The sequence below is a fragment of the Homo sapiens genome, chromosome 6 (genome assembly GCF_000001405.40).
Source record: "Homo sapiens chromosome 6, GRCh38.p14 Primary Assembly".
In the NCBI taxonomy this organism is placed as follows: Eukaryota; Metazoa; Chordata; class Mammalia; order Primates; family Hominidae; genus Homo; species Homo sapiens.
In genome coordinates, this window is record NC_000006.12 from 11,822,696 (window position 1) to 11,843,256 (window position 20,561).

Genomic DNA, 20,561 nt, shown 5'->3' on the forward strand with positions numbered 1-20,561 from the left:
GGACTGCCCTTTGAGAATCCAAGGATACTCAAATCTCTTCTCTACAATGGCATAGTATTTGCATATAACCTCATCCTGTACATCATCCTGTATACCTTAAATAATCTCTAGATTACTTAAAATACCTAATACAATGTAAATGCTATGTAAATAGTTGTTTCACTGTATTGTTTTATATTTGTATTTTTTTCCAAATATTCAATCCGTGGTCGGTTGAATCTGCACATGCATAATCCGTGGATATGGAGGGTCAACTGTACTTTCTTAGAACCACACTGCAGTCTAAGACACTTGTTCCCAACCACCCTTCCCTCCTTCCATCTTGTCTCACCTCTGAGTTCTAATGGCCCTCAGCCTCCTCTGCCTTTCTCCCTGCCTTTCTCCCAAATCTCTTTCCCCTCTAAATCTGCGTGTCTCCCTCTTAGAGAGTCCAAATTAGCACAGGGTAGGGGAAGAAAACTAGTCATTTATCATCTTGCTGAGTTCTTACAGGGGCCTACAGGATCTACAATCTGGCCCCTGGCTCCTAGGGGGGAATTAGTGTTAGAATAATCCTAATCACTAGATTAAAGCTTTCTGTACCTTTTCCCAGGAGACGGTTTGACTCTCCAAGGTCAATGGTGTTGCTGACCCGGTACCCTTTGTCCTGGATGGCAATATGAAAGTCTTCTTAGCTTTACCCTTTGTAATCTCTTTTAACTTTCACTAAGGGCATTTTCCTTTTGACACATCTTTACTTTAGATGTATCATCACTTTGGAGCCATATAAACCTGGAATAAGTTACTTAAACTACAGGAATCTTAATTTCCCTGTATATAACTTGGGAACAATAATAATATCTATGTTGTACGGTCATTCATTATTTGTTCGGTAAATATGTATTGAATACCTACTAGGCTCCAGGCATTATGCTGTAAAGAGAATTAGTTAAAATACATAAAGCATGAAGCTCACAAGTTGGCTTATATTAGTTGTTCAATAAATGATACTATTACTGATTTGTTGTTATTTTTATTACTGGCATGATGATTGAATTGTAATTCTGCTCTTTAATCTGAGAAATATTTTACCTTTTTATGGTAATTTTTGCATAGATGATCTTATTCATTATTTGCTATTTTTCAAGTTTAATCCTTAGAATCTTAAAACCCCATTTCTCCCGGTTTATCACTCTCTCTTTACATTCAAATTTCTTGAAAGAATTGTCTATACAGCCTGACTCCATTTATTTACTTACCTTCAGTTAGTCCTCAGCATGCTCTAATCCAGTTTTCTACCTTCATCCTTCCCCAAAACAACTTTATCGTAGGTCATCTATGGGCTCCTTGTTGTTTATATGCATTAGCTTGGGCTGCCATAACAAAGCACCAGAGATTGGGGGGGGTTGAACAACAGAAATGTACTGTCTCGCAGTTCTGCAGGCTGGAAGTCCCAGATCAAGGTGTCAGCAGGGTTGGTTTCTTCTGAGACCTCTGTTCTTGGTTTGTGTCTTTACATGGTGTTCCCTCTGTCTGTGTGTGTCCTGATTTCCAGCACCTTGGGAGGCCAAGGCAGGTGGGTCATGAGGTCAGGAGTTTGAGACCAGCCTGGCCAACATGGTGAAACCCCGTCTCTACTAAAAATATAAACATTAGCCAGGCTTGGTGGCGCAAGCCTGTAGTCCCAGCTACTCGGGAGGCTGAGGCAGGGGAATTGCTTGAACCCGGGAGGTGGAAGTTGCAGTGGGCGGAGATCATGCCACTACACTCCAGCCTGGCAACAGAGCGAGACTCCGTCTCAAAAAAAAAAAACAAAACAAAAAAAGCCCCATCTCCAAATACAGTCACATCGGGAGTTAGGGCTTCAGTGTATGAATTTTATGGGAAACAATTCGGTTCACAACATGCTACTTACTTTTTTCCTTTGCTTGTTTTACTTGACCTTACAGGGTAATTCGAGAGTACTATCCACACTTACTTTCTTGAAACCTCTTTTCTCTGGATTTCTGCAACCCTGACATGTTCCCAATTTGTCTCTTATTCCTCTGGAAAAGGAGACCCTTTTTCAAAATTATCTTTCACTTTCTGACAATTAAATCAAATTGAAGTTTTTCAAGATTTTAACCTTAACTTCTTCCATTCCACTCTCTTTCTAGGTGTTCACATCCATCCAGATGGCTTCAGCCTACGTAGAAAACTCTTGTTTTTTATGTGGAGACTAGAAATGTTGTCTTGACCTTTCTATGCATTTTCCCCTGTCTGGAATATAACAGACATTGAGAAAAACAGAGGGTTTTTTTTTTCCTATTCAGAATGATTGTTGTATTGAAACATATTTACCCCATAAAATCACCTGTTATTCCATCGTACCAATACATTCGTAGGAGGGAATTTCCAGACTAATCGCAGATGAATTTGTGTGGCCCTTTACAGAGCTGACCCACATGTGTAGCTGTTCTTGACATGAAGGTGGTGGGGCAAGAGGGGAAATTCCAAGCTGCAGAGTACGTGAAAACAGTTTTTTAAAGTTGACTGCAATCTCCATTGCAACTATTCTGTGGCTCTGTCATTGTATGACTAAGGACTCTGATGCTGCTGCCACACACTGCCAATGGGGAATTTTTGTAGTCTGAGCTAAGTTATTTCATTTGCTAGGCTATGGTGAACAGTTTCAAGATATTATAACTCTCTTGATGTTAGATGTAATTATACAGATCCTGAGATGGTGCATTACCATTACCAATTAGAAATGAAAATCCGGGAAGGGTGTGAGGATGGAGGGGGAGTGAGGGATGAGAAATTGCTTAATGGATATAGTATACCTCACTCAAGTGATGGTGACACTAAAAACTCAGACTTCACTACAATATATCCATGGAACAAAGCTACACTTGTACCTCTTAAATTTATACAAATTTTTCAAAAAAAAATGAAAGGGGTAAAATTCAATCATTCATAAAGAATGGGTGTGTTAAGTGGCTACACCGGGAATCAAGTATAGTGCTAGTGAGTGGAGAGGCGGGGAAAATGGAGGATGGGAGGGTCCCAGATACAAGCTCCTCAACCTCATCAATGTCATGATTGTGCCTGGACCAGCCCTGTTCATTACAATCAGAATCCCTCCTGTGCGTCTTGGACATAAGCCTTAGCTAGCTGGCCAACCTCAGAACAGACCCTGCCCATGTTTGTCCCAAGGCAGCCTAACTCCATTTTTTATTTAGATATGCAATTCTGGCCATTCAAGCTTCTTTCACCAGGAACTATTTAATTATATGCATTCCATGTTCGTCCTGAGGTAAATTAGCCTAAGTGATTATTGTATCAAACCCTCCAACTAAATTGTGCTCAAGGACATCTAACCTCTTAAATGTTATATAAATGAACATAACTGGACTTACATAATTTTTAAATAATGCATGATATTTGTACCTATTTGGGGGGGTACATGTGACTTTTTTATATACGTATACAATGTGTAACGATCAAATCACAGTATTTAAGATTTCCATCACCTCAAACATTATCATTTATTTGTGTTGGTAACAATTTCAAATCTTCTCTTCTAGCTATTTTGAAATCTACAATAAATTATTGTTAACTACAGCCACCCTATTATGCTATGGAACACTGAAACTTATTCTTTTATCTAAATATATATATATATATATATATATACATTTTTAATCTATTAACCAAACTCTCTTCATCCCCCTAAAACACACCCTTGCCAGCCTCTGGTAACTATCATTCTAATTTCTACCTCCATGAGATCAACTTCTAGAGCTCCCACATGTGAGTGAGAATATTGGATATTTGTCTTTCTGTGCCGGGTTTATTTCACTTAACATAATGACCTCTGGTTCTACCCATGTTGCTGCAAATGACAGGATTTCATTCTTTTTTTGTGGCTGAATGGTACTCCATTGTGTATATTTACCACATTTTCTTTATCCACTCATCTGTCTGTGGACACTTAGGTTGATTCTGTATCTTGGCTATTGTGAATAGCGCTTTAGTAAATATCCAAATTCTGCCAGGCTCATACCTGTAATCCCAGCACTTTGGGGGCTGAGGCAGGAGGATTGCTTGAGGCCAGGACCAGAGCAACATAGATAATGATAATGCTTGAGATCAGCCAGGGCAACGTAGACAGATTCCATCTCTACAAAAAACAAAAAAAATAGCCAGTTGTAGTGACATGCCTCTGTGGCCCCAGCTACTCAGGAGGCTGACAAGGGAGGATCACTTGAGCCCAGGAGTTCAAGGCTGCAGTGAGCTGTGATCGCACCACTGAACGCCAGCCTGGGCGACACAGTGAGACCCGTCTAACAAAAGAAAGAAAGAAACAAGGTGTAGGTATCCCTTTGATGTACTGATTTCCTTTCCTTTCGATAAATACCCAGTGGTGGGATTGCAGGATCCTGTGGTAGTTCTGTAGCACCCCCGGGTGGATATGGGGTATGTCAGTGGTACTCCAGGCATGTGGGGTGCGGGGGTGGTTAGGCCCCAAGGCAGGGTGTAATCTGGCGGGGGATGGGCTCCCCAAATGCCACTGCACTGCCACTGCTTGGGTCCCAGGGGTGTGTAGGACCCAGTGTGAACCCATCTTTGGAACAATGCCTACTGCAGATGGCTGTCTGTACTAGTCTCAGAGCCCCCAAAGGCCAAGGGGCTCTTCTGCGCCTAGGAATGTAGGAGTCCGCTGTGCTTGTGTGGACCACTGGGGCCTCTCACTTACCTTCTCCCCCAGCCAATCCTGGCTGCCTGGCTGCTTTGCTGCCCTCTCCTTCCCTGCCCCCAGGGTCCCTTGTCACTTTCCTGCTGAATTCTAGTGTGGTCTCCGACAGGCTCTATTCAACGTGCGTTTTTCTACTCGCGGTTTTGGTTCTTTGTGGAGGAGGCCAGTGCTGGGCGCCTCTTGTCGGGCATCTTGAAGCCTCGTCCGCGCTGATGTATTTATATTCTTTCCATGGCTCTAACTCAAAATAGTTCCAGGAGATATTGGTTGATTTCTTGGATTTTTTGTTTCTTTCTTTTTGTCTAACAAGTTTAATTTTACTTAAGAACAAAACGGGCCAGGATCCGTGGCTCATGCCTGTCATCCCAGCTTTTTGGGAGGCCAAGGCAGGAAGATCACTTGAGTCTAGGAATTCAAGACCAGTCCGGGCAACACAGCAAGACCCCATCTCTATAAAAAAATAAAAAGTAAAAGAAGGTAAAACAAAAACCAAAAAAAAAAACTCCACAAAACTTAGAAATCTCCCTCTCCTTAGGTGACAGAGTTCCCTTGTGTTAGCTTCACCCAGTATGTGTGAGGGAACCTCGCCCCACCTTATCTAAAGCCTTAGGATAGGGACAAATGGGATTTCCAGATATGTGCCCAAATCAGTGCAAAGGGAAAACCTCTAACCAGTAAGAATGATGGGGATACAGATACCTTATGTGACTTTTCTTTGAAGAAAAAGGTAAAAGGAACAGTTTCACCTATTTCAAGTGCAGTTAAATGTGATCCAGGAAAATGAAGGTGATTCCTGTGCTAGAATGATTTGTCCCTCCCATCTCTGTCCCTTTTCCCACAAATACCTATGTATGTTTTCTGTATATGGGGCTACCACTGAATTTAAAAGGCACTTAGAGAAGTGAAGACTTCCACAAAAGAGGAAATGAAAGAGGGATAAAAATGAACTTCTGATTTCAGCTGAACTCACCCAGATGGCAAAGAGAAAAAAAAAAGGTGACAATTTTGACCTCAGAAAGCAGTATAATAGTAAGAAAAGTCAACTTGAGCTCAACTCCAATTTCCTATTTGACGGCTAAATAAATGTTAAATGACTTTGTAAATATTTTTAAATGAGTGGTTTTGGAGTGGGAGTGGTGAAGAAAAAAGGGAAAAGAGGTTAACTACCACACATAAAACAACCAGTTCATGCAGCCTATGGCCAATTTTTACAGCTGGATTCTTATAAACTGCTTGAAGAATTGGGCGAGAGACGGGTTTATGATGTTACCATGGCAGTCCTGCAGTTTTTTGACAAAATATTGTGACACTAAAGCAGATGTACTGTGGGAGGTAGACATAGTGGTTGCGACAAGTATGAAGGAATTTAAGACCCTCACTAAATATTTCAGCGAAGAATGTCTCACCGAACTGCCACAGGATTTAATTAGCTGTGGAGTAAGAGGTGAAGGGTTAATCCAAGGTCAATGTGGAGGACAAGGAAGCCCCTGACACATGCAGCTATTTGATATTTGCTGAATGCCACATTGCAGTCAATTGGAATAGTAAATTAGCCTAGCAGGAGAAAGAATAGGAACTTAGTTTCTTTAAATCAATTGGATATGATGGTGTTCAATTATTTAATTTCCATATGCGTTTCTCTGAGCTTCTTTCTGTCAATCCAGTAATTTCTTCTGAAGTGTTAAAAGTGCCTGCCAAGCAAGGAAGACGTATACTCCAGCTTTCAAAGTGAGAAACAATTTGATTGAGCTCAATTAAGAACAATTGAATTGTATTTAATAGTGTTTGGTGTCTATATTTGCCTCTTTATACTACTTCAAATGTTTTGTTTTGTTTTGTTTTTCTCATTCACGGAGGAGGGGGGGAGAAAAAGCTGTCGGGCTGACATTTTTTCCTACCCACAGAATTCAGAGCAAGCTTGTTTGCTTGAATAGAACAAACTCCGAAACCCTGTCTAGAATAAAGGAAAATTTCTCAGGCATATTGAGCACCTCAATCATTCGTTAATTGAGTCAACAAATATTCCTTGAGCATCTGTTATGGACCAGGCATTGTGCAACGCACTGTCTTCCCACCAATCAAACATAGAAACCCGATAAGTTGGGATATAAAACAATGGCATCTCTTCAAAGGAAAGCCCTCAGGTGGGCAGAAGGTATTCTCAGTCTACTAACTCAGAGTGATTAAACTGTTGATCACCTCTGTAACAAATCCAAGTTGCAGAGAGGTTAACTGATTTGTCAAAGATAACCAGCTACTTTAGTATGTGCAAATGAAGTAAATAATTTTCTGATTTTTATTCTCTGGTTTAACTACTAGATAGATTTTCCATGGTATTTCTCTAATAAATTATTTGTCTACATACTTACGGTAAGGGCACATTTTGACTTTTTTTCATTTTTTAAGAATTTTGACTGATAGTAAACTCACATACACACTCAAAAGTGAATATTTAGTCTGACTTGAGTGTTGTGAATAAGCAAATATCTTCTATTCCAAATTAATGTGGTCAGGAAGAGAGAAGAAAAATCAACGAACTTTAGCAAACTTACAGAATAGTAAACTCCCAAGAGTCCTCAGTCTTGTTAAGGTGAAAAGAAAACGTGAGCCACCATTTAACCATGTTATCACATTAGGGATCAACCATGCATCCAAGCCAAGTTACACCAAGTACAGTGTTAGCCAAGAAACGCTAGCCTTAGCAGAAAGCACTGGGCAATTCTAACACCACTGATGTCTGCAGAAGTGCTTTCAGGAGCTCCATTCAGCAACAGGCTTAAAGGGAATAATTAAAGATTAGGCCTAAGGCTGGGTGAATGCTACTGCCTTTACCAGCTGCCCTTCAGGGCTGACCTTGGAGCTGAAGCACCTGACAGCTGTGAACCAACGTCAGCAGTTGTGGAAACAAGATACCGCAGTTTCTTTACCCCTACCCCAACAGCTCATGCAATTTGCTCAGTTGAAATCTATTTCCTGAATGCCTACTCTGCAGCAGGCATTGGACTGCCTGCTAGGAATACCGTTCTGGACAAGACAGACAACACACTGTCCTTGTATCATCCAGTAGAATCCATGGTATAGGAGTGTGAGTTAGTGATCCAGATATTTCATTCAATTGACTTTTTAATTATATGGAATTGAGCATCCTTTTGCTCTGGTCCCACTAGAGATCTCTTGTCCTGGAAGATGCAAGGAACAAGGACCTCTTCTTCATGGAGGTCCTTGACTGGAGATGTGCCTGCCTACCCAGCGCCTACATGTGGCAGAATGTCACAGAGGGATGTGGTCAGAGTCCCCAGAGCCTTCTTTGGATTTGCAGTGCCTACATGACTCTCACAGCGCTACTAGGAGCTGTTAAATGCATGCAGCCGATCTGGCAGTGGTAGTTACATTTTACCCACCTTTGATGCTCAGTCCCTCCTTGGGAGCTCTCCTCTTCTGCAAGTGACTCCTGCAGAAACCCAACAACATATGTGTCTGTGTCTGGAAGAAACATTAGGAAGAACAAGACCAGGAACATGGTGCTCAGTTCCATGATATATATTTTCATGAGATTCTTAGTTGGCTGCGTCATAAATGTTCAAACTAAACTAACATAAATTACTCTTATTGCTTCATGAATCTTGATCTTTATAAAGGAAGAGGCTTATTTATAAAGAAAAGAGGCTTATTTGGCTCACAGTTCCGCAGGCTGTACAAGGAGCATGGCACCAGCATCTGCTTCTGGTGAGGGCTGCCGGGAGCTTCCACTCACAGAAGGCGAAGGAGAGTAGGCATCACACAGCAAGAGGAAGAGAGCAAGAGAGAGGAGTACCAGGTTCTTTAGATAACCAAGGAATAGATCTACTTAAACTAGTTGAAGCAAAGCAGCATCAAAACTTCTGCCCAAAGAATGACTATCATTGTTAAATACTGAAACAGGAAAGATTCCCTTGTCCGACTAGCAGGGTATACGACAGGGGAGTGGCTGGCGTCTTCAGCGCCCCGCTGCTCAAATCTCTAGGGGACCACACAGACGGGCAGGCTGTGGGGCTCCGACCCCACGGCCTGTGTCTAGGGGTGAATGTTTACAGCTCCTGAAGCCCCAGTGGGAGTATGTTGCAGGGTGCTCTTTTAGTTTGCCGTCCACAGGCAGCTTGTGTTAGGTCAATTAGACCCTCTACCTTGTCGCAAGGACAGAGGAATTTCTGTATCCTGAGGTTTCTAGCCTTAGTGGACTGGAAGAATCGGATCACACGTGGGCTTGAAGAATGGAGTGAGTGCACAGGTTTTATCGGGGAGTTCTCAGCAGATGGGGGAGCCAGAAGGGAGATGGTTTTCCCCTGGAGTCCGCCACCGGCCCTGGCTCTCCTCAGACTGCCCCGGCAAACTCCACGTCGTTCTGCTGGTCAGTGGCCTATCGGCACGCCAGAGCTGGGGCCAGTGCGTTCCTCCGCCGCGATGTGCTCTTTTGGACCTCCAGCTGCTTCTGTCTCTGTCTTGCTAGGGTCTCGGGTGTTTATAGGCCCAGGATGGGGGCGTGGCAGGTCAGTGTGGTCTTGGAAAATGCAACATTTGGGCGCGAAGGCAGAAGTGCCTGTCCTCACCTAGGTCTGTGGGGGTGGAGCCCTAGCCAGGGGCCACGCCCTTCCTCTACCCAGCACTTCTCTTCCCCCACTTCCCTGTCATTTATAGCGACCACACTCTTCTCTTCCCAGCACTTCCGTATCAATATTACTTAAAGCTAGCTTTGAAAATTAGTTGTTTGTTCCTAGAAAGGGTGAAGGACACCAGCTCAGAAGTATTCCTGTTGAGGACATGTGAGATGTCGATGTCAGTTAATCTGTTCCACTGACCCTCAGATAGCCAGACAATTATCAGAAAATTCTTCCTTTTCACTGGTAGTAGGAAAAACACTTCCATGAACACAACTCTCTTCTTATAAAATCAGATGATTATTTGGATATGCTTAGTATCTTTTAAAACCATAGGTTAATATACAGCATAGAAGAAAAGCAATTTAAGAAAAGGGGGGCTCTGAAACTCCAAAGCCCTTAAGACCTTCTTGAAATCCATGGAAGAAAACAAAGGTGATGTTGAATGTATTTCATATTTGGAAATCAAATAATAAGTAAGGGTTCCCACTAAGGTCTGCTATATTGATAATCACTTAGACTTTTTGTGAGCTAAATCTTCTGTGGTTGCTACAGCAAACATTTATTGAATACCTTCTAAGTATGAGACTCAGTACTAGGATGTTTTAAAGATTATACAATTCTTATTTAAGATGTGATATATAGTGATTAAATCTCATTCACAAAAGTAGGGTTTTAGTTGTGCTTGAGCTTATATGTAAAGGTATGTACATATACATGTATGCGGTTTGTTCTTCCTATTTGCAAATGCCCATATTGGGAGAAAATGCCAGTGCCAGTCAAAGCCAACTGAATTGTTGTGCATTGACACATACTGAGAAAAAAAGGGCACAGCAACAAAAATGTTCTAGTCCCAATCAAGCGATAAACAAAATAAACAAAAGATATTCAAATCAACTTTAAAGAACCTGTTTTTGCTGAGTTTTGGAAGAAACATTAAGACAGTGGCTCAAGTTCCCACTTGAACATGAGTGTTTGTTGTTATTTTTAATGCTAGTTTTAAGGTTGAATTCATTAATGTCATGGTTTTGAATAACTTGAATTTTATTTACCTCTGGGCAGGTGAGCCTCCCTACAAATGACCATGATGTAGAAAACACTTGCACACATAGACATATGTGTCACATGGATGTATAGTACACTTCTTAGGTCAAGTTTTTTTTTTTTTTTTTGAGACGGAGTCTTGCTCTGTCACCAGGCTGGAGTGCAGTGGCACAATCTTGACTCACTGCAACCTCTGCCTCCCAGGTTCAAGCGATTCTCCTGCCTCAGCCTCCCGAGTAGCTGGGACTGTAGGTGTGTGCCACCACACCTGTCTAATTTTTGTATTTTTGGTAGAGACAGGGTTTCACCATGTCGGCCAGGATGGTCTCAATCTCTTGACCTCATGATCTGCCTGCCTCAGCCTCCCAAAGTACTGGGATTACAGGCATGAGCCACTGCGCCCAGCCAAGATTTTTTCAGTTCGCATGAGAGGGAGGCCTTTGGGGAGACAGGTGGATACTGAGCTCTTCTTGGTAACAGGAAAGCCATTAGAATAGGAAGCAGTGAATCAGGTGAAGAATCAGAGTGAGGAAGGAGCCAGTGAAGCTGCAGTGGGTCAGAAGCATAGTCACAGGGAGGTTGGGCGTTATCTCAGTGCATTTGCTATAAAGGAACACCTGAGGAATGGGTCATTTATAAAGAAAAGAGGCTTAGTTGGCTCACAGTTCTGCAGGCTGTACAAAAAGCAAGGTGGCAACATCTGCTTCTGGTGAGGGCTGCAGGGAGCTTCCATTCACAACAGAAGATGAAGGAGAGCAGGCATCACTTAGCAAGAGGAAGGGAGCAAGAGAGAGAGGGGAGAGGTACCAGGCCCTTTCAAACAACCAACTCTCAGGTAAGCAAATAGAGCAAAAACTCCTGCATTACCACAAGTGGATACCAAGCCATTCATGAGGGATCCGCCCCCGTGACCCAAACACCTCTCACCAGGCCCCACCTCCAACAAGGGATCAAATTTCAACACGAGATTTGGAGGAGACAAATATTCAAAGTAATCAGGAACTCTGGCAGAACTTCAAATGCCGAGAGTGGAATTTTGAGGTTAAAATTAATGGCCATGATAGTTACTAGAAGCTTTTGAAATATGAGTGGGTTTAATTATTTGACTGAGTTGATGTCAATAGCCTGAGATAGTAACAATGATGATTGTGTGCTGTTGCTGTTCTTCAGCCCTTCGCACTAAGGAAAGTTCTTCGAAGCCCACAGCCAGCTTGCAGGTGGAGAGGGCAGATAAAAAGAAAATGGTCATGAACATAAGCATGATTCTGCCGTTTTCTATGGCTCTGGACAGACCAGTTGCCTGAGATACCTCCAAAATTCATTTAGAAAGATGTGACAAGAAGGTTTCAGTGTTAGAACGTTGACGTCTAAGTTATTTATGGCAGAGTCCCAGCTGCCGCCAGAATTCCCCTTCTTAAAATAACCAACAGGTGGGTGACCTGGTCTTGAAGAACATTGTATCAGAGTATGCATGGGATACAATACTGCCTTCTTTCTTTTCTTGCTTAGGTAGTACTACCTTTAGCTAGTAATAAGACCCCTTGAATTTTGGAATTCAGGTATCAGAAAAAAGCTGCTAGCTCAGTGCCTTTTATATACACATAGGTATTTAATACATGTTTTTGCTTATCGATTGGTAAAAACTCCTAAAGATAGGTGCATGCTTGTGTGTGTGTAATGATTTTTAGAGATTATGGGTTTGGAACTGTCTTTGTTCTATTTAGATCAATATGATCATCCATTTATCTTGCTCTTCTTGTTTTTTATTGACTTTTTTCCTGTAATGTATGTACCAAAAGTATTTGCTGTTGCATCTTCTTAAGAGAATGCAAACATGACCGTGTTTCCTTTCTCTCAGAAAAAATGACAATTCATTTTCCAGAAATCATTTAAATTAAAATTGATGTTCTTTGGACATTAAAAAAAGGGGTGGGGCAGCATGAATTTTTTTCTTCTTGTAGTTTGACTGCTCACTGGCAAGAGGAGAAAGCCAGTCCTGAAGCCTGGGGTTGCTAGACTGGCCACCTTTCCCTCCTGTCTTTCAGCATGCCCTTTTAAGAGCAGGAAACATGAAAGGGTTTGGCTCAGACCCCAATTCCACTAAAGGCGTTATCCAATTGGCACTGAGGTCTGTCTCTGGCCTTGGTGGCTTCCCTGATGGCTGTAGCATTTGTTCCACAGCAATGACATTCAAATCCCGAGAGATGCATGAAAACACAAAAATAATGTGTGGTGAGGAAACAAGTCTCCTAACTGGTTCTTCAACAATCCTCCTTTGTGTCAAACCCAGATTGCATTTGGTTGGATGCAGGGACAATGCTAGGCCATGAAGAAAACAGAGATCAAAGGAGATGGGATTTCCAGAGGCTAGGAACAGAGGCCCTCCAAGCAAGAGAGGCACTCACAAAGTCAGTGAAGCTGTGGTGGTAATCTTGGTTGTAGGTGAGGAACCAGAACAGACCCCAAGAGTGGCAAGGGTCATTCTGGAAATGTACAGCTTAAAGAACACAGCTAAAATCTAGGGTAGATAGCAAGGTGAAACAGAGAGCCCATGAGCCTTGGAATCAGAAAATCAGAATTCTGGTCTTAGTCTGTCTCCAAGCAACTGTGAGTTCTTGGCCAGATAGTTTATCCCATCTGAGCCTCAATTTCCTCGTCTCTGAAGTGTAGGGTTTGGATTAAATGACCTCTTAAGTGCCTTTAATTTTTTATAATTATATGCCTGAGAGAAGTTGTCATTGTAATTTGGCCCTATTGGGGTTATGTTTTTTAAAGCTTGATAACAAGGAAAGTTTGCATGACAAAGTATACTTATCTGATTTAGAATTATTATTTCCTTTAATGTTTTCACATTACCCCCTTGGCGAGGTTCATTAAATTTGCCATGTGCAATGGATCTAAGGATTCTGATCCTGATACAATAAGATGTCTATTGAGCATCTCAGGTTGGTTATCAGCCCATTCTTCATTGCCTGTGGGTGACAACACAGAACACATGTTTATCATTCATCTGACCAGGATCCTTGCATCAGATTTTCAAGAAAGTTACAGGAGCAGCCATGGTCAGTGATAAAGAAATTGTTTCACTGAAAAATAGATAGGCAATGAGACATCCTTTGGACAGAACCAAGCAAAACTGGATTTTTGGACCTTAGATTTAGAATATAATCCCTCAGCTTGAAAGGGTTAATATAGGCCTTAGAAAGCATGTTGATATACATTTTTAAATTGATAAAGACCACCAAATTCTCCTCTTCTGGAGGAAGGTGAAGCTCAGAAAAGTTGAGTGAATTCTCCAGAGAAATATAGCTGGTTAAGGCAGGACTGAGGCTCAGTCTAGGTTATTCCACTCTCTATTCAACACTTTCTCTCTTTTCCCCATCAGTTTTTTTTTTTGTTTGTTTGTTTGTTTTTTGATGGAGTCTCACTATGTCACCCAGGCTGGAGTGCAGTGGCACAATTTCAGCTCACTGCAACCCCTGCCTCCCAGGTTCAAGTGATTCTCCAGCCTCAGCCTCCCAAGTAGCTGGGACTACAGGCTCTCTCCACCACGCCAGGCTAATTTTTTGTATTTTTAGTACAGATGGGGTTGCACCATGTTGGTCAGGCTGGTCTCAAACTCCTGACCTCAAGTGATCCACTCACCTCGGCCTCCCAAAGTGCTGGAATTACAGGCGCAAGGCACTGTGCCTGGTCCCCCATCAGTTTCTTCTTAACTGAACCAGCCATATTGGAATATTGGAAGCTGGAAGACATCAGTCTCCTAAGTGGTGGCATCAAAACCTGCACAGCTGAGGGGACCTGGGCAAAATGGTCAAATAGGAACAGCTCTGGTCTGAAGCTCCCAGCAAGATTAATACAGAAGGCAGGTGATTTCTGCATTTCCAACTGAGGTACCTGGTTCATCTCATTGGGACTTGTTAGACAGTGGGTGCAGCCCATGGAGGGCAAGCCAAAGGGGGGTGGGGTGTTACCTCACCCAGGAAGTGCAAGGGGTTGGGGAACTCCCTCCCCTAGCCAGGGGAAACCATGAGGGCCTGTGCTGTGAGGAATGGTGCATTTGAGCCCAGATACTATGCTTTTCCCATGGTCTTCATAACCCACAGATCAGGAGATTCCCCTGGGTGCCTGCACCACCAGGGTCCTGCGTTTCAAGCACAAAACTGGGCAGCTGTTTGGGTGGACACTGAGCTAGCTGCATGAATTTTTTTCATACCTCAGTGGTCCCTGCAACACCAGCAAGACAGAACTGTTCACTCCCCTGGAAAGGGGGCTGAAACCAGGGAGCCAAGTGGTCTAGCTCAGCAGATCCCACGCTCATGGAGCCCAGAAAGTTAAGATCCACTGGCTTGAAATTCTTGCTGCCAGCACAGCAGTCTGAAGTTGACCTGGGATGCTCGAGCTTGGTGGGGGAGGGGTGTCCGCCATTACTGAGGGTTGAGTAGGCAGTTTTCCTCTCACAGTGTGAACAAAGCTGCTGGGATGTTCGAACAGGGTGGAGCACACCACAGCTTGGCAAAGCCAAAGTCACTGTAGCCAGACTGCCCCTCTAGATTCCTCCTCTCTGGGCAGGGCATCTCTGAAAGAAAGGCAGCAGCCCCAATCAGGGACATATAGATAAAACTCCCATCTCCCTGGGACAGAGCACCTGGTGGGAGGGGCAGCTGTGGGCGCAGCTTCAGCAGACTTAAATGTTTCTGCCTGCCAGCTCTGAATAGAGCAGCAGATCTCCCAGCACAGTGCTCAAGCTCTGCTAAGGGACAGACTGCCTCCTCAAGTGGGTCCCTGACCCCTGTGCCTCCTGACTGGTAGACACCTCCCAGCAGGGGTTGACAGACACCTCATACAGGAGAGCTTGGGCTGGCATCTGGCAGGTGCCCCCTGGGATGAAGCTTCTACAGGAAGGAACAGGCAGCAGTCTTTGCTGTTCTGCAGCCTCTGCCAGTGATTTCCAGGCAAACAGGGTCTGGAGTGGACCTCCAGCACACTCAAGCGGACCTGCAGCAGAGGGCTCTGACTGTTAGAAGGAAAACTAACAAACAGAAAGGAATAGTATCAACATGAACAAAAAGGACGTCCACTCAGAGACCCCATCCGAATGTCACCAGCATCAAAGACCAAAGGTAGATAAATCCACAAAGATGGGGTGAAACTAGCGCAAAAAGGCTGAAAATTCCAAAAACCAGAATGCCTCTTCTCCTCCAAAGGATCACAACTCCTCGCCAGCAAGGGAACAAAACTGGACGGAGAGTGAGTTTGATGAATTGACAGAAGTAGGCTTCAGAAGGTGGATAATAACCAACTCCTCCAAGCTAAAGGAGCATGTTCTAACCCAATGCAAGGAAGCTAAGAACCTTGAGAAAAGGTTATACAAATTGCTAACTAGAATAGCCAGTTTAGAGAGGAACATACCTGACCTGATGGAGCTGAAAAACATAGCATGAGAACTTTGTGAAGCATACACAAGTATCAATAGCCAAATCGATCAAGCAGAAAAAAAGATATAAGAGATTGAAGATCAACTTAATGAAATAAAGCATGAAGACAATATTAGAGAAAAAAGAATGAAAAGGAATGAACAAAGCCTCCAAGAAATATGGAAATATGTGAAAAGACCAAATCTACGTTTGCCTAGTGTACCTGAAAGTGATGGGGAGAATGCAACCAAGTTGGAAAACACTCTTCAGGATATTATCCAGGAGAACTTCCCCAATCTAGCAAGACAGGCCAACATTCAAATTCAGGAAATACAGAGAACACCACAAAGATACTCCTTGAGAAGAACAACCCCAAGACACATAATCTTCAGATTCACCAGGGTTGAAATGAAGGAAAAAATGTTAAGGGCAGCCAGAGAGAAAGGTCAGGTTACCCACAAAAGGAAGCCCATCAGACTAACAGCAGATTTCTCTGTAGAAATCCTACAAGCCAGAAGAGATTGGGGGCCAATATTCAACATTCTTAAAGAAAAGAATTGTCAATCCACAATTTCATATCCAGCCAAACTAAGCTTCATAAGCAAAGGAGAAATAAAGTCCTTTACAGACAAGCAAATGTTGAGAGATTTTGTCACCACCAGGCCTGCCTTACAAGAGCTCCTGAAGGAAGCACTAAATATGGAAAGGAAAAACCGGTACTAGCCACTGCCAAAACATGACAAATTGTAAAGACCATCAACACTATGAAGAAACTGCATTAACTAATGGGCAAAATAACCAGCTAGCCTCATAATGACAGGATCAAATTCACACATAACAATATTATCCTTAAATATAAATGGCTTAAATGCCCCAATTAAAAGACACAGACTGGCAAATTGGATAAAGAGTCAAGACCTGTTGGTGTGCTGTATTCAGGAGACACATTTCACATGCAAAGACATATACAGGCTCAAAATAAAGGGATAGAGGAATATTTACCAAGCAAATGGAAAGCAAAAAAAAAAAAAAAAAAAAGCATGGGTTGCAATCCTAGTCTCTGATAAAAGAGACTTTAAACCAACAAAGTTCAAAAAGACAAAGAAAAGCATTACATAATGGAAAAGGAATCAATGCAACAAGAAGAGGTAACTATCCTAAATATATAGGCATCCAATACAGGAGCACCCAGATTCATAAACCAAGTTCTTCGAGACCTACAAAGAGACTTAGACTCCCACACAATAATAGTGGGAGACTTTAACACCCCACTGTCAATATTAGGCAGATCAACGAGACAGAAAATTAAAAAGGACATTCAGGACTTGAACTCAGCTCTGGACTAAGCGGACCTAATAGGCATCTACAGAACTCTCCACCCCAAATCAACAGAATATACATTTTTCTCAGCACCACATCACACTTATTTTAAGACTGACCACATAATTGGAAGTAAAACACTCCTCAGCAAATGCAAAAGAATGGAAATTATAAAAACAGTCTCTCAGACCACAGTGCAATCAAATTAGAACTCAGGATTAAGAAACTCACTAAAACCACACAACTACATGGAAATTGAACAACCTGCTCCTGAATGACTACTGGGTAAATAACGAAATTAAGGCAGAAATAAATAAGTCCTTTGAAATCAATGAGAACAAAGACACAACATACCAGAATCTCTGGGACACAGCTAAAGCAGAGTTTAGAGGGAAATTTATAGCACTAAGTGCCCACGGGAGAAAGTGGGAAAGATCTAAAATCAACACTCTAACATCACAATTAAAAGAACTAGGCAAACAAATTCAAAAGTTTCAGAAGACAAGAAATAACTAAGATCAGAGCAGAAGTGAAGGAGATAGAGACATGAAAAACCCTTCAAAAATTAATGAATCCAGGAGCTGTTTTTTTGAAAAAATTAACAAAATAAATAGACAGCTAGCCAGACTAGAAGAAAAGAGAGAAGAATCAAATAGACACAATAAAAAATGATAAAGGGGATATCACCACTGATCCCACAGAAATACAAACTACCATCAGAGAATACTATAAACACCTCTATGCAAATAAACTACAAAATCTAGAAGAAATGGATAAATTGCTGGACACATACACGCTCCCAAGACTAAACCAGGAAGAAGTCGAATCCCTGAATAGACCAATAACAAGTTCTGAAATTGAGGCAGTAATTAATAGCCTACCAACCAAAAAAAGTCCAGGACCAGACAGATTCACAGCCGAATTCTACCAGAGGTACAAAGAGGAGCTGGTACCATTCCTTCTGAAAGTATTCCACACAATAGAAAAAGAGGCACTCCTCCCTAACTCATTTTATGAGGCCAGCAACATGCTGATACCAAAACCTGGCAGAGACACAACAAAAAAAAGAAAATTTCAAGCCAACGTCCCTGATGAACATAGATGTGAAAATCCTCAATAAAATACTGGCAAACCAAATCCAGCAGCACATCAAAAAGCTTATCCACTACAATCAAGTCAGCTTCATCCCTAGGGTGCAAGGCTGGTTCAACATATGCAAATCAATAAATGTAATCCATCACATAAACAGAACCAATCACAAAAACCATATGATTATCTCAATAGATGCAGAAAAGGCCTTTGATAAAATTCAACACCCCTTCATGCTAAAAACTGTCAATAAACTAGGAATTGATGGAACATATCTCAAAATAATAAGAGCTATTTATGACAAACCCAAAGCCAATATCATACTGAGTGGGCAAAAGCTGGAAGTAGTCCCTTTAAAAACTGGCACAAGACAAGGATGCCCCCTCTCACCACTCGTATTCTGCATAGTATTGGAAATTCTGGCCAGGGCAATCAGGCAAGAGAAGGAAATAAAGGGTATTCAAATAGGTAGAGAGGAAGTCAAATTGTTTCTGTTTGCAGATGACGTGATTGTATATTTAGAAAACTCCATCTTCTCAGCCCAAAATCTCCTTAAGCTGATAAGCAACTTCAGCAAAGTCTCAGGATAGAAAATCAATGTGCAAAAATCATAAGCATTGCTATACACCAATAACAGACAAACAGAGAGCCAAATCATGAGTGAATTCCCATTCACAATTGCTACAAAGAGAATAAAATACCTAGGAATCAAACTTACAAGGGATGTGAAGGACCTCTTCAAAGAGAACTACAAACCACTGCTCAACAAAGTAAGAGAGGGCACAAACAAATGGAAAAACATTTCGTACTCATGGATAGGAAGAAACAATATCATGAAAATGGCCATACTGCCTAAAGTAATTTATAGATTCAATGCTATCCCTATCAAGCTACCATTAACTTTCTTCACAGAGTTAGAAAAAACTACTTTAAATTTCATATGGAACCAGAAAAGAGCTCGTATAGCAAAGACAATCCTAAGCAAAAAGAACAAAGTGGAGGCATCACGCTACCTGACTTCAAACTATACTACAAGGCTACAGTAACCAAAACAGCTTGGTACTGGTACCAAAACAGATATATAGAACAATGGAACAGAACAGAGGCCTCAGAAATAATGCCCACATCTACAACCATCTGATCTTTGACAAACCTGACCAAAACAAGCAATGAGGAAAGGATTCCCTATTTAATAAATGGTGTTGGGAAAACTGGCTAGCCATATGCAGAAAACTGAAAGTGGACCCCTTCCTTATACCTTATACAAAAATTAACTCAAGGCGGATTAAAGACTTAAATGTAAGACATAAACCATAAAATCCCTGGAAGAAAACCTAGGTAATACCATTCAGGACATAGGCATGGGCAAAGACTTCATGACTAAAACACCAAAAGCAAGGGCAACAGAAGCCAAAATTGACAAATGGGACCTAATTAAACTAAATAGCTTCTGCACAGCAAAAGAAACTATCATCAGAGTGAACAGGCAACCTACAGAATGGGAGTAAATTTTTCAATCTGTCCATCTGACAAAGGGCTAGTATCCACAATCTACAAGAAACTTAAACAAATTTATAAGAAAAATCAAACAACCCCATCAAAAAGTGGGTGAAGGATATGAACAGACACTCCTCAAAAGACATTTATGTGGCCAACAAACATATGAAAAAAAAGGTCATCATCACTGGTCATTAGAAAAATGCAAATTAAAACCACAATGAGATACCATCTCACACCAGTTAGAATGGTGATCATTAAAAAGTCAGGAAACAACAGATGCTGGAGAGGATGTGGAGAAATAGGAATGCTTTTACACTGTTCTAGGGAGTGTAAATTAGTTCAACCATTGTGGAAGACAGTGTGACGATTCTTCAAGGATCTAGAACCAGAAATACCATCAGACCCGGCAATCCCATTGCTGGGTATATACCCAAAGAATTATAAATCATTCTACTCTAAAGACACATGTACACATATGTTTATTGCAGCACTGTTCACAATGGCAAAGACTTAGAACCGACCCAAATGCCCATCAGTGATAGACTGGAAAAAGAAAATGTAGCACATATACACCATGGAATACTATGCAGCCATAAAGAAGGATGAGTTCATTTCCTTTGCAGGGACATGGATGAAGCTGGAAACCATCATTCTCAGCAAACTAACACAGGAACAGAAAACCAAACACTGCATGTTCTCACTCATAAGTGGGAGTTGAACAATGAGAACATATGGACGCAGGGAGGGGAATATCACATACCAGGGCCTGTCAGGGAGTGGGGAGCTAGGGTAGGGATAGCATTAGGAGAAATATCTAAGGTAGATGATGGGTTGATGGGT

At 41.9% G+C, this 20,561-nt stretch overlaps 5 annotated features.

Moving 5' to 3' along the window:
- Positions 11,137-11,366: a silencer, noted in NCBI's record as "silent region_16918". NCBI's record gives its function as "represses an Ori minimal core promoter by ATAC-STARR-seq in GM12878 lymphoblastoid cells {active_cell/tissue: GM12878}" and the evidence as "EXISTENCE:reporter gene assay evidence [ECO:0000049][PMID:35858748]".
- Positions 11,137-11,404: a biological region, named in NCBI's record as "ReSE screen-validated silencer GRCh37_chr6:11834142-11834332".
- Positions 11,214-11,404: a silencer, noted in NCBI's record as "fragment chr6:11834142-11834332 (GRCh37/hg19 assembly coordinates)". NCBI's record gives its function as "represses an EF-1alpha promoter that drives an FKBP-Casp9 reporter gene in an ReSE screen in K562 erythroleukemia cells {active_cell/tissue: K562}" and the evidence as "EXISTENCE:reporter gene assay evidence [ECO:0000049][PMID:32094911]".
- Positions 11,627-11,926: an enhancer, noted in NCBI's record as "active region_23994". NCBI's record gives its function as "activates an Ori minimal core promoter by ATAC-STARR-seq in GM12878 lymphoblastoid cells {active_cell/tissue: GM12878}" and the evidence as "EXISTENCE:reporter gene assay evidence [ECO:0000049][PMID:35858748]".
- Positions 15,452-15,634: a silencer, noted in NCBI's record as "fragment chr6:11838380-11838562 (GRCh37/hg19 assembly coordinates)". NCBI's record gives its function as "represses an EF-1alpha promoter that drives an FKBP-Casp9 reporter gene in an ReSE screen in phorbol 12-myristate 13-acetate-treated (for megakaryocytic differentiation) K562 erythroleukemia cells {active_cell/tissue: K562(+PMA)}" and the evidence as "EXISTENCE:reporter gene assay evidence [ECO:0000049][PMID:32094911]".